Consider the following 21,614-nt stretch of genomic DNA (forward strand, 5'->3'; position numbering starts at 1 on the left):
GGCTGGGCTGGGGCCTCCCAGGTAGAACTGAGGGGGGCACCGCGCGGCCGCGGGGGAGCGGCGCCGGACTCTAGAGGCTTTGGAGGGGGCCTGAGGGCTGCGGGGCGGGACCGAGCAGGGCGGGGCGCTTAGGTGGCCTCGGGGGAGGCGGGGCTTGGAGGCTCCGCCCCTCAGGCCCCGCCTCCTCCCCGGCTAGTCTTTGGCCGCCGCCGAACCCCGCGCGCCACTCGCTCGCTCAGAGGGAGGAGAAAGTGGCGAGTTCCGGATCCCTGCCTAGCGCGGCCCAACCTTTACTCCAGAGATCATGGCTGCCGAGGATGTGGTGGCGACTGGCGCCGACCCAAGCGATCTGGAGAGCGGCGGGCTGCTGCATGAGATTTTCACGTCGCCGCTCAACCTGCTGCTGCTTGGCCTCTGCATCTTCCTGCTCTACAAGATCGTGCGCGGGGACCAGCCGGCGGCCAGCGGCGACAGCGACGACGACGAGCCGCCCCCTCTGCCCCGCCTCAAGCGGCGCGACTTCACCCCCGCCGAGCTGCGGCGCTTCGACGGCGTCCAGGACCCGCGCATACTCATGGCCATCAACGGCAAGGTGTTCGATGTGACCAAAGGCCGCAAATTCTACGGGCCCGGTACGCGGCCGGCGAGGGGGGCTTGGAGACAAAAGAAGGGGGCCCCGGCACGGGGCTGGGCGGGAGAGAGGCGAGGCGGGAGCGGGGCGCCCCTGAGTGGAGGGAGGAATGGCGGCGAGCTAGGGTAGGCGGGTAGGCGGGCAGGCGGAGAGCCGGGAGGCTCCCGGGGCGGGCAGGGAACAAGAGGCGCTCTAGAGGGGCTGCGGGCCAGTCAGGGACGCGGATCCCCGGCCCGCGCTGACAGCGCTGGGAGGGGGTTAGAGAAAGAAGGCTGAGGCGCTTAAGCCGGGGGTGGGTGGGACCACGAAGCTCGAAGGCGTTGAGGGGGGACACATCAAAGCCCAGGCTGTTGGGGTAGTTTTCGAAGGTCCTGGGCTTGGGGATTCCTGGAAGGAGGAGGGGGTAGTGTCGGGTTCTAGGAAGGAAATGAGGGTGTTCCGAGGGAGGCATGGGGGAGGGCGAGAGTGAGAAAAGGTCCAGACCTAGAGAAGACGGGAAGGCCAATGACACCGGGAGTAGGTTTGAAATATGAGGGTGTGGGAGAAAACGCCGAGACGGGATTAGCAGCAGGTAAAAGCTTTGTGCCCGGTGGATAGTGATGTGTGTGTGCACTCGTGGTGTGTGCATGCGCGGTGTGTGCGTGTTTAGTGTATGTGATTTATCAGGGGTGTGTGTGTGTGGTGTGTGCATGCGCGCTTGAAATGGGTCATGCGTCAGGTATGTGTGTGGCATGTGTTTGGTCTGTGTGCGCTTGTGCTGTGTGTGGCAGATGGGGAAAGGCTGGAAGGTGAACAAGGAGGAAGGGGGCTGTTTGAGGGAGGAATAAAGGCTGAATATGGTGGACAATGGTAACGTGGCAAGCTTTTAAGGTAATATGGTATTTAGTCTATAGCAGGAGAGAAAGGATTAGAAGCCAAGAAAAATTAAAATGGAGGGAGGGAGAAGTGGGAGGATACCAAGAAACAAAAGGAGTAGAGCTAAGAAGACTGCTGGGTGGGGGGATATCAGGAAAAGCCAACCAGAGGGAAATGAAGAATGGATGACTGCTGCACTGCTGAGCTGTTGGAGAAGGCAGGCCTGATGGGTTCCTTAGAGGCGAGGTTTTTGCAAACCTGGTTGCGTATCAGAATCACCTGATGCATCTGAGGAAAAATACAGATTCCCAGTCTAACCGCCAGAGCTGCAAATGAGTCTCGGGTGGTCCGGGAGTCTGTATTTTAATATGCTTCCCAGGCGAATTTGAAAAGCAGCCAGGCTTGCAAAGTCCTGCTTTATAGAATACTTGGAGATGAGGAAGAAGAGGTTTTGGCTCCTCCAATATGGACTCCTCTAAACACAGGGAGCTTAGAGGATGTCCACATGGACGGTGCTCATTCCACACTGGCCTGAGAGAGGGAAGAGTACAGAAGGCAGTACACAAACTCAGGCATTCATTTTAGTCTCCCAGTCCAACTGATCAAAATCAGATGTGTTAAGGTTAAGGAGCTCAGTTTTTTCTTGCAGACATTTATTTATTATAAAAAATAAATTTTATTTATTTTTTAGAGACAGGGTCTCCCTCCTGTGTTGCCCAGGCTGGTCTCGAACTCCTGGGCGCAAGCAGTCCTTCCACCTCCATTTCCCAAAGTGCTGGGATTACAGGCATGAGCCACTGCACCGGGCCTGTGGATATTTTAGAATACCTGCTTTCTATAGGCATGTAACTGTCAAAATCATTTGAAAACCACATACATTATTTGTCACTTAGAGTAGCACACATAGTTGCTTTATCAATAAACATAATCATGTAAATACCTGTTAATATTGAGCTCAATATTAAAGGAGTGAAAACATGTGCATGAGGCATCATCATGACTGTAGTTTGCAGAGTCATTGAGAGGATGTCAGCCTGTGCACAGAGCACAAAACTGGGAGTCAGGCAACCTGCGTTCTAGTCCTGATTGGGTCATGACTAGCTGTGTGACCTTGTGCAAAGCATTGTTCTCTCAGAGCCTTAGTTTTCCCTCTGAAAAGTGATAAAGATGGCCTATTGTGAGATCTCTGTCTCTATCTTGCACTGTCATTCAGTGAGCCCATGACTACGTGACATCTTGGTAGAAAGTGATGCTTCATGTTGTAAAGGATTCCTAAAAATTAGTCATTCTAGTGCCTGTTAATTCTGTGCAAGGCACTGTTGTAGATGTGGGAATATAGCAGTGAGCAAAACAGACACAAATCTCTGCCTATGGAGCTTACGTTCTAGTGAATATATGTTGCACTGAATAATATGTATTTTTAAAAGACTTTTAATGTTCCCACTAGAGAACATTTAATTGTTTAAATGTTTAAATATTCTATGAGGTTTAAATATTCTATGTTTAAATATTCTATGAGGTTTGCTTGGTAAAGACTCACTCTACCAAGCCAATGACCATAATTTCTGAAATGGTAAGGTTCAAACCATTGCATTTGCCTATTCTCAAGCACTAGGTGCTGCCATTTCCACTAGGGGTGTACATTTATGAAAAATGTGGGCTTTTTTTTACCTTCTTTAGTGAATGTGGCAGCATGTAATGATGATTAAAAATAAGCATTTTTCTTTGGAATTTTACTTGCATTTAAAAGTTGTAAAATTTGTAAAAAATTTCTGAGTGTATTGAGGTTTCAGGTGAACAGGCCATATTGAAACTTGATCTATTCTCATACTTGGTTCCCTACAAACATTTTAATGTCAGGGCTGCTATTCAATCTGCCTTGGGGGAAACAACACATTGTTTAAAGTACACTGGATTCTCTTCATTTAGTTGTGCAATATTTAAATAAGTCTAAATATCCACTTTGTGTACCCACAGAATGATTCTCTGCTCTCTTAGACAAAAGTTCAGTATAATATCACAAATAATCACATTTTATAGAGTTGTTTTATAGAGTTGTTTTGCAGTATTGATTCAGCCTCTTTTCCATGAAAATTTTAGTATTTTCACAGTCTTCTCAAGCCCACCAAAAAACAGATAATGAAGACTGATCTCTGTGTTATCTATTTATTGACAGTGAAGGTTATGTAATGTGGATAGATTTTTAAACCACCGATACTGTTATAAAATGGTTCTTCTGCAGATGCCATGAGTTAATGTTTAATTGAGCCTTGGAACCAAAGATCTCTATAAGATACCTTTGTTTCATTAAAACATATCAGAATATATTCATAAGGAAATGTGTTTTCATGTACACATCAGTGCTTATTATCTTAAGAAACCATAACTCTCACTGGTGTAGCCCCAAGTGCCTAGAACTGTCAGGCTCCCAGTTCAATGTTCTTGTATGATTCCCTACTACCACTACCCCAAGAGATCACTAACCACGTATGACTTTTTTACTAGCTATTTGGAAACCACAGGAGACTGACGCAAATGTATAGCAGTTTGATTTACTTTTAGTTATTTAAAAGTTAAATGACAACAGGTCTTTCTGTGTCTCCTACATAATGTTCAGAATATCAGCATTACTATGGTTTCCTAATGGAATTTGATATTCAAAAATGGGGCTATGTTGATGAATAGGGAAGCCATTTTCTGTGTATAAATCACAGAGAAATTGACTGTCTAATAAAGAATTGATCTTTGGTTTTGTTTTTGAAGAGGGGCCGTATGGGGTCTTTGCTGGAAGAGATGCATCCAGGGGCCTTGCCACATTTTGCCTGGATAAGGAAGCACTGAAGGATGAGTACGATGACCTTTCTGACCTCACTGCTGCCCAGCAGGAGACTCTGAGTGACTGGGAGTCTCAGTTCACTTGTAAGCATTTTTAAAATTGTGTCTGGGTCAAATTTCTACCAGTAATGGGGATTCGTGGCAGGACAATAGTTATTACTAAGCAGCCTGAAACTTGGGTGCATTTTGATAGGCTCCTTAATCTTGGACGCATCAAGTTCATGGCTTGAAGTAATTGTAGCAGTGCTGAGTCACTTGCTATGATTGCATACCAATTTTTAGCCAGTTCTCTATGGAAACTTGGGTTTCTGGTTTTGATTTTAAAATTTTTGAGAGATTTGCTAGATTCCAAATGAGGATTTGGTGCTTGGTGTGTCAGGGAAAGGACAGTGTCCATCTTGGCTACAGAAAGGGATTTTCATAAGCCCTCTCTTGTAGAGCTTGCCGTTTAAAAGCAGCCCACATCTCTGTTGAAGAATGGGAGACTTGTATTCTGTGAAACAGCTTCTCTTTGAATCTAATTGAACCTAACTATAGGCCTCATCTACAAATGATGCTTATAATGTGCCCAGCAGCAATGGTGTCTGCATTTTTAAAAAGAAAGTAAAAAGGAGATGCTTGTTTCTGGCTTATGCTATGGGCTGAGGTCTTTGGGGAGAAATAGGAATGAGGGGTTAAGTTCAGATTTTGAGAATTCAGGAATTGGTTTCTGTCAAATCTAACTGTTTAATTGTCACTCTAGCAATATTTCACTGCCAAGAATTTGAATAAGAGTCTTTCCCAGCTTTTATGAAACAGTATATAAAGACCATGAGCATTATTTGAAGATTTTTCATTTAAAATGTAGTTTTCTATGTGTGTTCTCTATAATCAGTTAAATATTACATGTTCTCTTGGCTATATCCAACCATTTTCTTTGAAAATAATGCTGACTTCAGAGAGAGTTCTGGATTAATAATTAGCCAGATGTGTCTCTGCCTTTGAGTTTTGGTCTCAAGCAGGCTACATATAACTTCCAAGTCTAGAGGCAAGTTTTTATACTTTGGAAAACATAGTTCAGTTACCTAATAGAGTCCCTAATTTTTGGCATCATAAGGATGCCTTTGTAATTAGTTTTCTATATGAAACCAGTGAATTGTAGTGTCTAACTTACAAAGCTCTATTTTCTAGGGCTTGCCTTCATCAGTGGGAGAAAAAGTGTGATTTTTTTTTTCCACTTTAAGGCTAGCCCCAGATGCTGTTGTGACACCTCAGCTACACTTAAAGTTGGTGTGGATTCCCCTTAAGGCAGGTTTCCCAGGAGCCACCTGGCTTTTATTTGTCTCACACAGTTCCAATTGTTCCCAACGGTTATTTCACACAAAAGCAGCTTTAGTTACCTGGTTAGACAGGTTGGTTACTCCTCTAATTCCTACTCATATTCAGGAAGAGGAGACTCTTGGCTTTGGACATTCAGATGATCGACCCTGCATTAGTTTGGCTACAGTGATGAGGTGGTTTGCTGATGCCATCTCTTCTCAAGTCTTTTGCATTCTGGTTTGCACCCTTACATCTGTTTTCTCCAACACCTCCAGTCATCTCCTGGCTCCTTTACCACTTCCTTTAACCACCCATAGGTTTTTCTCTGTGCTGGGAAAAACGTTCTGTCTCTTGCTCTCCTCTTCATCTATGAGACTATTATTCCTTCCTTTCACTGTCAAACAAACTTCTTACAAGTTTTTATTCCTAACCACTACTTCATTTCCTCTCTATACCTTCTTCCTCCCTACAATATGGCTTCTATCCCCACAATTGGATTGAACTCTCTTTCTGAAAGATTTTCAGGGAAACCTTTTTTTTTTTTCTTGCCAATCCTGACTTCACTTGTCCATTCCATGTTTTAGATCTCCTGTCATGTGAGCCTCCAGAATGGCTCCCTCCACAGAGTTCCCATTTTGGTCCATGGGAGCTCCAATTTTCACTTAATTAATTCATGCTTCCAGTTTTCTTTCAAAGTACTTCTCATCTGTCCCTTTCCATTCCCCTGGACACCACCCTGCTCCTGGCGCTGGTTCCTTTGCATCTGGATCTGCACTCTGCCTCTGGATCGCCCTGTTCCCAGTCTCTCCTTACTGAAATCTGCCCTATACACCACATTGATAATATCGTTGTTAAAGCACTATTTTACTGTGTCATTCCTTCGCTTATAAACCTTCAGTGCCCTTTGCCACCTATAAGTCCAAACTCAGGCTGGCTTTTCAGATCTTTCATAATATTTCCCCACACTACTTAGCCAATCTTATCTCCTACTAACTTCTAAATGTTAACTCTACTCCTGCCAACTTGGTCTCTTCATTGCTTCCCAGATACGTTGTCTCACCTGTATGCATTTGTACATGGCGTTTGCATTTTCTGGAACTCCCTCCCTAAATCCTTCTATACATTTTTCCAAAATATATCCTCCTTCCATGAAGTATTCTGTAACCCTTCTGATGAACTCATCACTTGCCCTTGTTCTTCTAAACATTCCTTACACACAAACAATTCATTTTGACGTTACCTTGCACACTCATTGCCAGACGTTGCCACCTGTTTTATATGTCTGTCTTCTGAACAAAACAAATTCCCTGTTGGCAAGGACGGTGGTATAAACCACCTTTGTATCCTTCAAGAAGCCCAACACATTGCTGAGTATATTGCAGGCCTCTAATAAATGCTTTAAATTGAAACGTGGTAATGATGTTTTAGAAAGAATGAGAATGACCATTTGTGTTTTCTTCTCTACCTCCAGTCAAGTATCATCACGTGGGCAAACTGCTGAAGGAGGGGGAGGAGCCCACTGTGTACTCAGATGAGGAAGAACCAAAAGATGAGAGTGCCCGGAAAAATGATTAAAGCATTCAGTGGAAGTATATCTATTTTTGTATTTTGCAAAATCATTTGTAACAGTCCACTCTGTCTTTAAAACATAGTGATTACAATATTTAGAAAGTTTTGAGCACTTGCTATAAGTTTTTTAATTAACATCACTAGTGACACTAATAAAATTAACTTCTTAGAATGCATGATGTGTTTGTGTGTCACAAATCCAGAAAGTGAACTGCAGTGCTGTAATACACATGTTAATACTGTTTTTCTTCTATCTGTAGTTAGTACAGGATGAATTTAAATGTGTTTTTCCTGAGAGACAAGGAAGACTTGGGTATTTCCCAAAACAGGTAAAAATCTTAAATGTGCACCAAGAGCAAAGGATCAACTTTTAGTCATGATGTTCTGTAAAGACAACAAATCCCTTTTTTTTTCTCAATTGACTTAACTGCATGATTTCTGTTTTATCTACCTCTAAAGCAAATCTGCAGTGTTCCAAAGACTTTGGTATGGATTAAGCGCTGTCCAGTAACAAAATGAAATCTCAAAACAGAGCTCAGCTGCAAAAAAGCATATTTTCTGTGTTTCTGGACTGCACTGTTGTCCTTGCCCTCACATAGACACTCAGACACCCTCACAAACACAGTAGTCTATAGTTAGGATTAAAATAGGATCTGAACATTCAAAAGAAAGCTTTGGAAAAAAAGAGCTGGCTGGCCTAAAAACCTAAATATATGATGAAGATTGTAGGACTGTCTTCCCAAGCCCCATGTTCATGGTGGGGCAATGGTTATTTGGTTATTTTACTCAATTGGTTACTCTCATTTGAAATGAGGGAGGGACATACAGAATAGGAACAGGTGTTTGCTCTCCTAAGAGCCTTCATGCACACCCCTGAACCACGAGGAAACAGTACAGTCGCTAGTCAAGTGGTTTTTAAAGTAAAGTATATTCATAAGGTAACAGTTATTCTGTTGTTATAAAACTATACCCACTGCAAAAGTAGTAGTCAAGTGTCTAGGTCTTTGATATTGCTCTTTTGGTTAACACTAAGCTTAAGTAGACTATACAGTTGTATGAATTTGTAAAAGTATATGAACACCTAGTGAGATTTCAAACTTGTAATTGTGGTTAAATAGTCATTGTATTTTCTTGTGAACTGTGTTTTATGATTTTACCTCAAATCAGAAAACAAAATGATGTGCTTTGGTCAGTTAATAAAAATGGTTTTACCCACTATAGTGTGGTGACTTATTTAAATTTTTTTAAAAACCTTATTCTAGGGAATCTGATTCAGACATTTTACTTTGGCTTAAAATTCAGTTTCATTTTTGAGTGCAGAGTTTTTGTATTCCAAAAGAAACAAGGGGCAAAATTTCATGGAGACCCCACACCAAAAACCAAATACCAGCTTGTCCTGTTTAAGAAATAGTGAATTGAATTGCTTTTTTTGTGACTTGTCAAAGTTTTGCCTAAATCAGAACTTTCTAAACTGTAAATGGCAGACCTCCACCTTGAAGTCTATAGCAAGGTTCTTAAGAAGTAAGGTTACTGAAGGCATTGTCATTGCCAAGTGCTAAGGAAGGGTTTGGGTTTTTTTGTGTTAATGTATTGTCTGATCAGGAAAGTATCAGGAATCCTTACAGTAGCAAAGTTAATTCACCTCGTGTCAAAAGAAGCATAACAGATTTGCATATGCAGTCAGTTGTATAAACAAAGACAACCTATTAGTGTTTTGTCATTTTAATGTTAACATTGGCAGAGTTTTCTTATAAGAGATATACTTCCTGAACCAAAGAAATTTCCATTTTTCATGTTATCAAACCACATTGCAGGTACTTGTGAGTTTTTTTTAATGTGCTCTTTTTTTTTCCCACTTGGTTTCATTCACCAAATGTTTGAGTGCCTGTTTTGTGCCATGTAACCTGTTATGCCTTATGCTTTGGAGAAGGAGTGGGGGAGAGAAGTTGGGCCCACCTTCGCAGCCTGAAATCTCATGTGCATGTGAAGATTAGGCTACTCATTTTGCAAAGTTAAACAGGCTTGTCTGCTGCCAAGAGGAAAATATCCAGAGCAAGCTTGTCCAACCCATGGCCCACGGGCTGCATGCGGCCCAGGAAAGCTTTGAATGTAGCTCAACACAAATTTGTAAACTTTCTTAAAACATGAGGTTTTTTTTGCAATTTTTTTTTTTTTTTTAGCTCATCAGCTCTCGTTAGTGTTAGTGTATTTTATGTGTGGCCTAAGACAGTTCTTCCAATGTGGCCCAGGGAAGCGAAGAGATTAGGCACCCCTGATTTAGAGCCTCACTAAAGTTTCACTCCCAATAACCTGATTCTCTTCCATTCAGAGCTGAATCAACATTGTGTTGGTTACTTGGAAAGGAATATTGCTGTAAGGCAGGACTTTGATCTAAAAACTTCTCAAATCCAGCTAGCATATACATAAGCCATATTCATGTAAAAGGCACCATTCAAGAAGATGGTGGTGTCGGGGGGAGGGGGGGTAGTTGTTACAACCACCACATGTCCAGTGAAGGAGGGAGGTGTTAGGTTAACATCTGGCTTGCTCCCCACCTGCTGTCATCCTACCAGCTGCAGAGACAGTTTGTTCTCAACTAGCGTCTGTGGTTCATAAGCAGCATTTACTACGTGTTTTCAGTATCTGCATATCTGGCTTCCCTGCATAATGTAACATTCACCTTACTTCAGAGGGCCAAATTTATGCAAATCCTAGATCAAGAACAAGCATCAATACATTTCTTGCTGTTTCAGAAAGAGCTCTTTGAACCTGACGGACGCTTTCAGCTCTAAAGTGCCCAGATTTTACTCCAAGGTAGTCTGCCTTTGTTATGATACTTAGAGGCAGTTTGCTGTATATTTCACATGAAAATACAGTTAACTCTTGAATGGTCAAAGACTGATTATTGAGGCCCCTACCTTCTCTGACTAGACTGTCCATCCCAAACCCATAATTGTTTTTGCACATTGTATAACTTGAACACTTCCACCCAGGGCTGAAGGAATTAGGTGAAATTCCATGGAGTCAATTTTGCTACCTCTTATTAGCACTGATAAAATGTGCTAAAGGGAGGATCATCTTAAATCTAAATAACATTATTTCGGTTTGTCCAAAATGAAAATAAAACTATGGTCTTTAGTCCCATGAACTCTGACAATGTCAGTTTCCACAAAATGGGAAAAGTTGCATAGAAATGATATTAAAATTAGGCATCTATATTTCCACAGAAAATGTTATTGTGGATGTGCAACATGCTAGCCAATACATGTGATAAATGAACAAAGAATATTCACTATGATAATTTTATTTTTAATATATCTGACAAATATGTATTCTCTAACAATGCAAATGAGAAAAGAGATCAGCAACATTAGTGCAAAGCAGCATACTGTAAGTAGGAACTTTCCCCCAAAGGTGGACTTATCAGCATTTATTTAAAAATGACTATTTTAAACAATTTTGCAACAAGTAAAAATAAGTTTATTTGATTCTTATTTTCAAAATTACCAGGTTACATGGCTTTCTACCTGAGAAATTTAAACAAATTGAAAGCACATTGACATATTTTTAGTTTTTTTGCATAACTACCAACAACTCATAAGAAAAACATGAAAATACCTTAAGACAAAGTTTAAAGCTCAGGCCCTTAATAGGACATAGAAAAAGATATGAGAAAACACTTTTGCACCACTTAGCACAACAAACAATAGCAGTGTTAATTAAGAAGGTGGTTACAATATTTTAGTTGTATTTTACTCCTTACTAAGCCATTCAATTAAAAAGTACAGGATAAGTTATCTTCCTCATTTAGGGCCTACCCACCAAAAAGGTTGACTCTTTATAAGACATATACAAGTCTAGGGTTATACAAAATGTAAACATAAAACCAGTATTTTTACTTTCTTCTAAGTCCCAGGATGGTATTTAGCAAAAAAAAAAAAAAAAAAAAGACAAAAATGTTATATAGAAATAGCACCGGTTCTATTACACATAAAAATTGCACATGCTGTATTCTGCAATTTATTTTTATGTCTGACTACTGAGCAGCAAACTGTTTTCATGTCTAAAAACTCTGCAAAGAAAAATCAAGTGACAGAACACAGTGAGATTTTTTTCAAAAGCATAGCTGCTTCTCATTACAAACTCATAATATTCTTTGTTTTAATGGCATGACACATGAAAAATTAAGAGGCAGGTTTTCGTCAAAGAAAAATAATACCTGGTTACTGAAAGTTGCCTGACAAAATACAAGCTGTTAGCAGTTCAAAAGGCTACTCTGGACAACAGTACTTTGAACATTAACATTCAAGGCACTTGCCCCATAAGCAATGTTTTTCAGATTTGACAAGCCAAATCTAGTTTTGATGGAAGAGTCACTGGCTTGAAAGTGGAATTGAACACAAGGGAGCCAACAAATCATCCACTGGTTATTATCTTATTAATAATAAACATCATCTGCTATGGTACATTCATTTCTGACTTCTTGCATGTACTAACATAGCTCTATGATTAGAAGAGATCGATGAAACAACTTGTGGCTCTTCCTTCAGATAAATAAGCTTTTGTAGCCCTTTCACATACCCGTTTGCTCAAAAGGCTGGTTATATGCACACATTGTGATATTCTGGGCAACCACAATGACTGGCATTCTACCTGGCTCTATCAGCTGGTACTTTTCTACAGAATGTCAAATTAAGAGTGTTTGAATGAATCATGTCACATCAAAGTGTTGCCCTTTACTGCTTCTGTGGATTAAAAATGACTTTTTCCTGTTGCTGACAGTCTCTAATCTCATTAATGTCTTCAATTACCAGGTCAGGCATAGTTTTGTTGGAGAAAAAAAAGGTAATCGATTGCCCCTGAGGTCCTAAATGCAAGGTAAGGCAGAATGAATCAGCGGAGCTTTCTATAAAACATGCACTGCACTAAGATGTAAGTCTTTAAGAATCCATAAAATATTTCAATTTAAAAACATTTATGAAGTCAAAAACTAGTAGGTAAAAAGATCAATTGCTTATGTTGAGAGTTTACAAATCCTACACATATACATTTTTCCCTAGCTACAAAACTATAGGCTTTTCTCTTTACTCTTTTTGAAAACTTGATGGCATCACTGAGGATTGAGAAGAGAGGCACTTGTTACTGTTTAATAAAGTTCAGTTTGGGGGATATTCAGTGACTTTACAAACTGATGTAATCCAGCCCTGAGTGAAAGGGTTACATAACCTGAAGTGGAATAGTCACAGCATCTTTTTTCAAGTGACATCATTGGTGCCCCACAATTTTTCAATATTTCCTTTTGCAAATTCCAGTGGTTATATTACTTCAATCTTGCTGTTTTTCTAAAATGGAAAGACATGGGGTTCTTAAAAAAAAAACAACAACTCTGCTAATGGGTTTAAATACTATCCATTTAAACCTCAAAGGACAATCTGGACCACTTTTAGATTCTTCTTCCAAGACTTTGTCTTGAAAAAGACAACTCTTTGAGTATTTAAACATAGTAATAAGATTAATTTTCTCCTGGTGGGTGCTCATGCAACTCTTTAATGTCATGAAGAAGTCTATGTTCTAACTGTCGTCTCTTTTATCTACAATTATTTCTAAATAAAAGTCAGGAAAGTTTGTTGCTGCACGTGGTGTTTCTGACCAAATCAAAGAACATGTAAAAGGATCATTATTCATTCACTGCTGTCGTCTTTGGAGATAAATGACACTAAATGATGATGTTATGACACCTAAGGAGCCATAGAGGGCCATCTCAACCCCTCTCAATGTTAATCTGCTCCTTCACTGGCGTAGAAGTAAAGTTTTAGCTGAACCATAGAAATGTCTATCCTTGGATCAAGCAGCATTTAAAAGCTTGAGCAGGGTCAAATACAAATTATTATTTCTCTTGCCAAAGTTGAAAGCATAGGTCAAAATGACTCCAGGTGTATTGACAAGCTTTGGGAAATATAAAACACACAGGTTCTGAAGTTTTTAATGCTGCTGTCTTCCTGTGTAGTTGTTAATTACATGGCTACATTTGGTTTTAAATTTTCTTCTTGTAACATGTTTATTGTGAAAAAGGATACTCCTGATCTAAGTGGTCATCAAAACATTTAAAATTTAAAGAACCAGTGCAGTTATTTCCTGAATAGCTTCCATAGTCAATATACTCCTGACCATTATGTCTATTATAGTAATAATCAGAATTGAACTTCAAATAGTTATAATTACATCCTCTAAATCTTGAATTCTGGTTATATTCTGACTTCCAAGGAGTCCCTCTTCTTCCGTGAAAATTACCAAAATAGAAAGACCTAGCACTTCTTGATGACATTACGGGCACCTGAGAGGGCCCATAGTTCACTTTCTGGTCCAATGTACTATCACTAAACCTCTTTAGATAACTGGAACTGGGTTCCTGGTAGTAGCCTTCATCAAACAAGTATCTGGGGGCTAGTTGTCCCTTCATTTGTCCATTGTTGTTTTCATGTCTAATGAAATGACTTTCACCCCTAGGCCATGAACATATCCATCTCGGTTCATACTCAGACTTCCTACCTGGTGTCCTAAACTTGTAATTAGAGTATTTTTCCTCACCATCACGCTTCCACTTTGAAAAAAAGGTCTGCTGACTCGACCTTGTATTTTGTTTGCGAGTGATCATTTTGTCAGTGTCAAGAGGTTCTTTTTCTGAGAAACTATTAAATGTGGCCACAGATTTCTCTTTCTCCTCTTTGTTTATACTAAGGGTTTCACTGAAGCATTCAGAATCACTACTAATTTCCTCTAAGAAATCTGTCAACTGTAAACCTAAGCCTATTGACTCATGGGGTGGGGACACTTGGCTTTTCCTTGTGGATTTGGAATCTTCAATATGATAACTATGAGTCTTTTCCAACAGACAGCTGTTTCCATCAGTTGGGGACAGCTGACCACCAGCTTTATGGGCTGTCTCCTGGCAATGAGTTTCAAACCCATTAGTACATTCTTTGGCATAATCTACTTTTCCTCGTTTACGCTCAGGATCCTGAGTACAAATCTTTGATGAGTAATTATTTTCTTGAACCTGTTCTTTCCTTTCCAGGTTTTCTACTTGGCTCGAATTGATTGAGTGATGCCTACACTTTCTCAAATTAATCTGAAATCCATCTCCCTTAGCTTGGACATCCCTCTGCCACTGACATGTGCCTGCTACCTGACTTGTTTCTAGGCAGATACGAGTATATTGTGGAGGTTCATAATAATTGAAAAGATAGTCAAAAAATGCATCTGTTTCATGGATCTTAGGTTTCCTGCCTTGGCCTCTCCCAGATAATCTGGAACAGGATTCACTAGAACCGTGGTGGTCTTCATTTTCAAGAGACTGGCCTTCAATTATCGTAATCTCCAAGGAGTTATGCTTAAAAAACAAACTGTATTCATATTCCTCATCATCTAATAATATTCCAGCTCTCTGTTTTCTAGGGGAATACCTTAAATTTTCTTCCCCAAGGCAGTGGGAAGATTTCTGTAAGTGATCCCTAGTTGTTTTCTTCATTTTTTGTTTTTGTTTATTGTCTGACTTGGCAACCTGACATTTTGACATTTCCTCTTGATTTTGAAGGTACAGAGTGTTTAGCTGTTCTTCCAGAGTTTTCAATGTGTTCCCTGGAGAATCATTAGCTTTGGTGCCAATAATGTCGACTTCCTGTGGGTTAAACTGTATGGATCCCTTCAAAGAAAAAGATTAAAAATCTCTCATGAAAAACTAAACAGATTAAAAAATTCCAAAGAAAAATTGTGCTTTCTGACATTGTTCTGAAGAGACTTCCAATACCTGGGATAGATCCAAATTAGGAACAATATTGCACTGAGGAAATAGAAGGCAAAATTAAATGTCTTAGTCTAATATGAACTGTTTTGAGTAGGTCTATGCCCATGCTTATGTGAGAAGGCACCACACTTTACATAGCCTTCAAAGCACATGACTCTTTTTTCACTTGTTTGAAAATCAATAAGCCTGATGTTCCAGGTATTGTGCTAGGAGCTGGAGATACAAAGAGGAATAAGAAATTATCTATAGCCCTCCCAGAAAAATCCCAGTACAAGAAAAGACTGACAGGTGAATCGTATATCTAAAAGGGTCCACTAGCTTAAAAGATAAACTGTCTTTCTTTTCATACCAGCCTCTTACTGTGGACTGCAGGTAAGGCTGTCTCCGAGTTTCCTCCCCATTCCCCTGTGCTCAGTAAGAAGCAAGGTAGCAAGTAGCAAATGTGGCCGTGATCGTGGTTCTATCTGCAATCATGTCTGCAGTGCTATCTGCTCTCCATAACTGCACAGCAGGTGAAAGGTGCTGCCCACAGGCCCCACCCTGCTGGAGGCTTTGTACTGTGCTCTCACTGACACCTGACACACATCAGAGCACAGTGCCTACACACTACCTGGGATTAGAACCTGGGACTGCATAATGGGTATTAGTATTTACGAGGCCAAGAATCAGACACCACACACATTGAAAAAGATAGATTCTTTAGGAGTCACCCTCAGAGGTCATTAAGGAAAATGAAAAGAGATCCAGCTAGCCTTATTATCAATAAAAATGTGACATTTTTCTGATCCTAATTTCACTAAGTTTGATTGTCCACACTAATGAGAAAGAGGTCAAGATTGCAAATATACATAAAAGTAACTCTGTGTAATCCTAATGGCATTTACTATTCATATTTTAAAACACTGAATATGGATTTTTAAATGAACACTTTGGTAGCTTTTCTGGCTTTTAATCCAGGACATCTGCAGAATCTGGCTATCTTTAGGAGGTCAGGAAGGGGGAGAAACACCTTCCAAAAATGAAACTCTCCAAACATAACAATTGCTCTGTGAGGTGAGAAATTTCTTATCAAATAGTTTAAGACTAGATTATCACGAGCTTGTTACAAGGCTCAAGACTCTACCAAACCTACTGCAGATGAGTGGAAAAGTAAAGTTAATAACACCTGACACCCACCCCCCATCCGTTTCTTCCCTCTGGCATTTTTCTGTTACATCCATTAGGAACTTAGAAAAGTAGAAGCATTAGCTAAATGCTCTGGGTAATACTGTCCTGAAGTTTAGAGACACAAAGAGAGAGAGAATGAGAGAGAGAAAGAGAGAGAGAGTCAAATGGAAGGTTGGGACGCAACTCCTTTAGAGAATGTGGATATCCCTTTTGTAAATCTATCGGATTGTTAGAGGTCAGCCTATTTAAAATAAGCCCCAGTGGATGCAATGAGTCTTCCATGGAGTGAATTTTCAATAGGCCACTGCTCAAATGCAAAGGTAATGTCTCAGAAAGGTGAGTACCTACCAAACTTGAAGAACAATTCGGCAATAGCCTTCCTGAAATTTTCCTCAGGAGTACCCTTAGGAACCGAAGTGCCTCAACTCACCTCTGAGCCACTAGGTACTTCCTCTCCTCCCACTCCTCTGAAGAGTCTGGCTCTTGAGGTGCCTCAGCTTTGGCTTTGGGCTTCTGTTTCCTGTGCCGGTGTCTGTCTCTTTCCTTCAGGGCTTGTCTCCTTACCCTGGCCTTCTTCCTCTTTACTCGGACTTTTTGCTCATCATCTTTTCTTTTTCTGGACAATGATTAAGATTAAACCACTCAGAAGGTATTTATTAGGCATTTGATTTCCTCCCTCCCTCCCACTGCCAAGGAAGAACAGATCATCTCAGCTTCCAGGAATCCACCACTGTTAACCCCAGTGCCTAACATAGACAATTATAATAAAAAAACAAAACAAAACAAAACACTGTTAAGCACCAGTCAAGGGGAAAGACACATCATTTTCTTAGTCAAATAGAAGCTGTAAAGGAGGCCTTCTGCAGAGATAGAGTATCAAATAAAGAAGGCTACAGAATTCAAAGGAGGGGCCTTTAGCCCCCACATTCTCAAACCACAAGCAGGGATCACAGAATCCAGCTTTCATGGAGACTATTTCATTTTTCTTGTGAATAAAACCTATGAGTTGGTTTCAAACAGACAAAGGTGAGTCAAAATACTCAGAAAATCTTCAGGGTAAGAACTGGTCCTTGGTACATATTACTTAACACAGCACACTATCAGAAAAACATACTGGCTTAGAAGAATATGGGCTTTTTTTCTGCTGTTTTCTGAAAATTAAAACTGTCTTGGTTAGGCCCTTATGGGAACGTGGGGAAAGGGAAAGAAGGGACAATTACCTAAGTCAGAACTTAGCCAAAACTCAGAGGATTATCTAAATTGGATGTTTAGCCTGGATTTGGGGGGGACTAGTTATATTTACTAGGCTCAAGCTCTGGCCAAGTTTCACAGACATGACCTCAAGTAATTCCTATCACTCCACTAGCCAAAAAAGTAAGGGACACATGGAAGGGTATTCTTTATCTCCTTTTTTTTTGAGACAGAGTCTTGCTCTGTCACCCAGGTTAGAGTGCAGTGGCACGATCATAGCTCACTGTAGCCTCAGACTCCTGGGCTTAAGTGATTCTCCCGCCTCACCCTCTCGAGTAGCTGGGACTACAGGCGTGTGCCACCACGCCTGGCTAATTTTTTTTTTTTTAATTTTTGTAGAGACAGGGTTTCCCCGTGTTGCCCAGGCTGGTCTTGAACTCCTGGCCTCAAGTGATCCTCCCACCTCAGCCTCCCAAAGTGCTGGGATTACAGGCGTGAGCCTGCTTATCTCCTTTTCTGAATGGCTACAATTTATATGAAAGAATAAAAGAATAAACATGCATGAGGAAGGGCCAGGAAGTAAAATTAATTTTCAAAGCTCTGTAGTTTTGGCTCAACTGTACTCGACTGGCAACCTTTGGCAATCCAATAGCCCCTTCTAGACTCAAACTCCTGAACTGGACGTCAACGATAAGCTCAAAGAAATAAATACAAAGAGGCCGAGTGCGGTGGCTCACACCTGTAATCCCAGTATTTTGGGAGGCCACAGTGGGCAGATCACCTGAGGTCAGGAGTTCGAGACCAGCCTGGCCAACATGGCGAACGAGAAAAATACTCCCAATCAATCCATGCCTTCTTGCATACAAGTTAGCTTGGTTATTGAACATTTTAAGAAGAAATTCCATCCCAGCACTAAATTCTTAAAAATTTTAAATTAGTAGGCTAGGTAATTTTGATAATATTTGGTAAACTGGTAAAATTCTTAACTTGGCAGGCTAGGATTTTCACTATAAAAGTTTCTTGTCCCTTTTTAAAAAAATCATTTCTTTCCAGACATCTTAATCTAGCTAGTTCCATCATTCCTCATTATTTGTCCTCCCTGACAAACATATTTTTTTTTGAAGTCTCTTGTTTTCAACAGTTTTGCCATTTTGGTTTTGTAACAGCACAGCTGAAAGACTGTAGCTTTCAGTGGCGTTTTCCAATCTGCTCCAATTCTTGCCCCCCATCTCAATGTTATCTACCAAGTCTGGCTGTTCATCCAAAAGGATTAATCCATAAATCAAAGAAAAAAAATCTTTGTTAAAGTTGGTCCACACACCTTTCAGCTACTTCCTCTTCTCTTTTCTTTTCTTTTTTCCTTTCTTCTTCTAGTTCTTGTAATTTTAGCCTTTCCTGATTTCTCCTCCTTATAGCTCCTTCGCTGAAGTGCTTGGTCGTATCAGACGTAACCTGCTCCAAAACAATTCAAAGTTTCATTAGAAAAGTTTGCCAGCTGGCTGGGTACGTCCCAGGTCAGAGAGATAAAACTAAGATGGTACATGGTAATTCAAAATCAATTGAATTCAAAACGTCCTCACTGCATCCCAGTATTCATATTCCTACTGCTTCTCAGCCACCAGCCAAACAGTGCTCGTAGGCTTGAGGATTTTCTTTGGCAGAACCCTTGAATAAGTATATCAAATCATCACCTTAACTTTACACAATTTTACTTGTCAGTCGTACCTCAATAAAGCTGTTTAAAAAAAAAAAAAACCTGAGGAGCTTACTTTACATATGGTCATAGACACCATCACAGTGCCATCGTAGGCACAGGCTGAGAAATGTCAATATATTACTTCTGGTTCGTTAAAAAGATCAAATGAGCTAATGTATTTTTTTAATCATCAGAAACAAAAATAATCAGAAGTGTGTGTGGTGCAGGGGGAGCAAAGATGCACAAAAACTAACCTGATGAGAGAGAAGATCTATCATGATTAGTAAACAACTTTTCAAATCTTGAAATAAAGTGAAAATTAGATTGAGATACTACAGAATAGTATAAAATAGGTTAAAATTTTTGGTTAACCAAATCACAAGAAAATTATAACCAGACACTGGACAGCGGGAAGTGGTCTCTCATCTTGTGGTAATGTTTTATTTATTATTTATTTATTTATTTATTTTTGTTTATTTGTTTGTTTTTTGAGATAGCTTCTTGCTCTATCGCCCAGGCTGGAGTGCAGTGGCATGATCTTGGCTCACTGCTACCTCTGCTTCCCGGCTCAAGCGATCTTCCAGCCTCAGCCTCCCAAGTAGCTGGGACCACAGGCAAGAGCCACCACACCTGGCTCATTTTGTACTTTTTGTAGAGATGAGGTTTTGCTATGTTGTCTCAGAGCTCAAAATGATCCGTCTGCCTCGGCCTCCCAAAGTGCCAGGATTACAGGTGCAAGCTACCGCACCCAGCCTAATTTTTTATTTTTTAAGCTGAGCAGTGGTACATGGGTGGTCATGACAGTATTTGCTATATCATTTGCCTGACTGAATAGCTCATAATTTAAAAATATACATTTTAACTTAGCTAGCTACATATACACACATGCACATACACACATGCACACACACACACACACACACACACACACACACACACTCATACACTGGAAGCAGAAAGTCCAAATTCATGCTAAAGACTGATTTACAGAAAAAGGAGAGTTTAGTTGCATCTTTTCCACTGCTGGGTTAAAACTTCAAGAAGGAGATGACGAAAGTATGTAGACATCAATGAGATGACATGATGGAGTAGACAGGCTGATTTTGAAAGTAAAGAATCCAAGTTTGTTAGGATTATGTTTAGCAGTTTATCTGAGTCTCACTCTTCCATCCAGGCCTGCGTGCAGTGGTGTAATCTCGGCTCACTGCAACCTCCACCTCCCAGGTTCAAGCGATTCTCATGCCTCAGCCTCCCAAGTAGCTGTGATTAAAGGTGTGTGCCACCACGCCTGGCTAATTTTTCTATTTTTAGTAGAGACAGGGTTTTGCCGTGTTGGCCAGGCCAGTCTCGAACTCCTGACCTCAAGCAATCCACCCGCCTCAGCCTCCCAAAATGCTGGGATTACAGGCGTGAGCCACCACACCTGGCCTCCATGTGGTTTCAAACTGCATGTATTCCTCTCTTCCTCTCTCTCAGCAACTTGTCAAATATAATAAGCATATGAGATAATTCCATAGGGGCCATGAAGAATTCTTTAATGCCCTCAAGTAGTTGAGACAGAACCTCAGATTATAAGAACCATCACTTTAAAGTCATAGCTGGCAGCATGCCTGATAGCACAAGAATGAGTGTTCAAATCAGGATTTTTTTCTTCCTAAACATCCATTTATTAAAAATAATAAAAGTCTTTATATATTAGTTATTGATCAGAGCCTGGTAGGGTCTAAGAAAATTTATTCTAGATGCTTCCTTCCAGCTTTTATTCAGGATCACCTGAACAGTGGAAAATAAAAGAAACTCTGGCTACTTCTTACCTTAATGTTACATGCCAGAGCTTTCCCATCATTTCCTTTAAGCATCAGTTTCATTCTTCAAAGGGACTCCATGGCTTTTACAAAGTCAGTTGCCTCTTGTTACTGTATGAATGCCTCAAATGTCTGTAAGCCAAAGCTAAAACCCCCAAAGCTCCTGTCAGTCATCACTTCTCTGTAGGGGCCAAGCATAAGGATATCCACATTCTTGATCTTCCCAAAACTTTCAAAGACTACCCAAAGGATCTCTTCATATGGCTTCTCTTTGCTAGAACATTTAGGTGCAAACCATTTACAGGGCAACTCTTCAAAACATATGGAATCTGGGCTCTTCTCCTGCTCTTCAGCCCCATCACTCAACGAGGGCTCTTTTTCCTTGGGGAAGTGCTCCCATTCTCCCTGGGCATCTGTAGCCACTACTTTTAAGTGTTTTTTCAAACCATTTAGCTTGATAATCTTCCCATGTAACTTTGCCTTCAGGATCTGAACCAAACTTCGGGTTTCAGCCTCACCCTCCAATTGAATGAAGTCCTTTGTACTCTTGGAGAGCTGAACTGTGGTGAACTGGTCAGGGCAAATCAGGCTCTTCAGCTGGTCAAGAACTTCCCAGTTAGAGAAGGGCCTTACAGGTTCTAGACTCCCTGGAAGCAATATGTTGATCAACAATTTTGCTATGGGCTTGAGGTAGAGGTGCTGAGCTGCACAGAGCTCTGTTGCCTCAGAGTTATCATACACCACTGTGACTGTCATGTTGTC

The 21,614-nt window shown here is 40.6% G+C and overlaps 1 protein-coding gene and 1 pseudogene across 3 annotated transcripts, besides 2 other annotated features; one reads left to right on the forward strand and one right to left on the reverse strand.

Moving 5' to 3' along the window:
- Positions 29-288: a silencer, noted in NCBI's record as "silent region_20954". NCBI's record gives its function as "represses an Ori minimal core promoter by ATAC-STARR-seq in GM12878 lymphoblastoid cells {active_cell/tissue: GM12878}" and the evidence as "EXISTENCE:reporter gene assay evidence [ECO:0000049][PMID:35858748]".
- Positions 226-8,407, forward strand: PGRMC1 (progesterone receptor membrane component 1). Of its 2 annotated transcripts, NM_006667.5 has the most exons (3): positions 226-632; positions 4,250-4,405; positions 7,092-8,407. In NM_006667.5, exons 1-3 carry the CDS (start codon positions 305-307, stop codon positions 7,193-7,195), a joined length of 588 nt encoding a protein of 195 aa, NP_006658.1. In that variant the 5' UTR covers positions 226-304; the 3' UTR covers positions 7,196-8,407. The 2 variants fall into 2 exon arrangements, with proteins under 2 accessions (NP_006658.1, NP_001269550.1); NM_001282621.2 differs by lacking the exon at positions 4,250-4,405.
- Positions 689-838: a silencer, noted in NCBI's record as "silent region_20955". NCBI's record gives its function as "represses an Ori minimal core promoter by ATAC-STARR-seq in GM12878 lymphoblastoid cells {active_cell/tissue: GM12878}" and the evidence as "EXISTENCE:reporter gene assay evidence [ECO:0000049][PMID:35858748]".
- AKAP17BP (A-kinase anchoring protein 17B, pseudogene) lies at positions 10,482-21,614 on the reverse strand (annotated as a pseudogene). The gene is made up of 4 exons (NR_171575.1): positions 20,862-21,614; positions 18,673-18,803; positions 16,591-16,776; positions 10,482-14,891 (listed from the first exon to the last, which is right to left on the reverse strand). The product of NR_171575.1 is annotated as an A-kinase anchoring protein 17B, pseudogene (transcript).

This window comes from Homo sapiens, chromosome X (genome assembly GCF_000001405.40).
Source record: "Homo sapiens chromosome X, GRCh38.p14 Primary Assembly".
Classification (NCBI taxonomy): domain Eukaryota; kingdom Metazoa; phylum Chordata; class Mammalia; order Primates; family Hominidae; genus Homo; species Homo sapiens.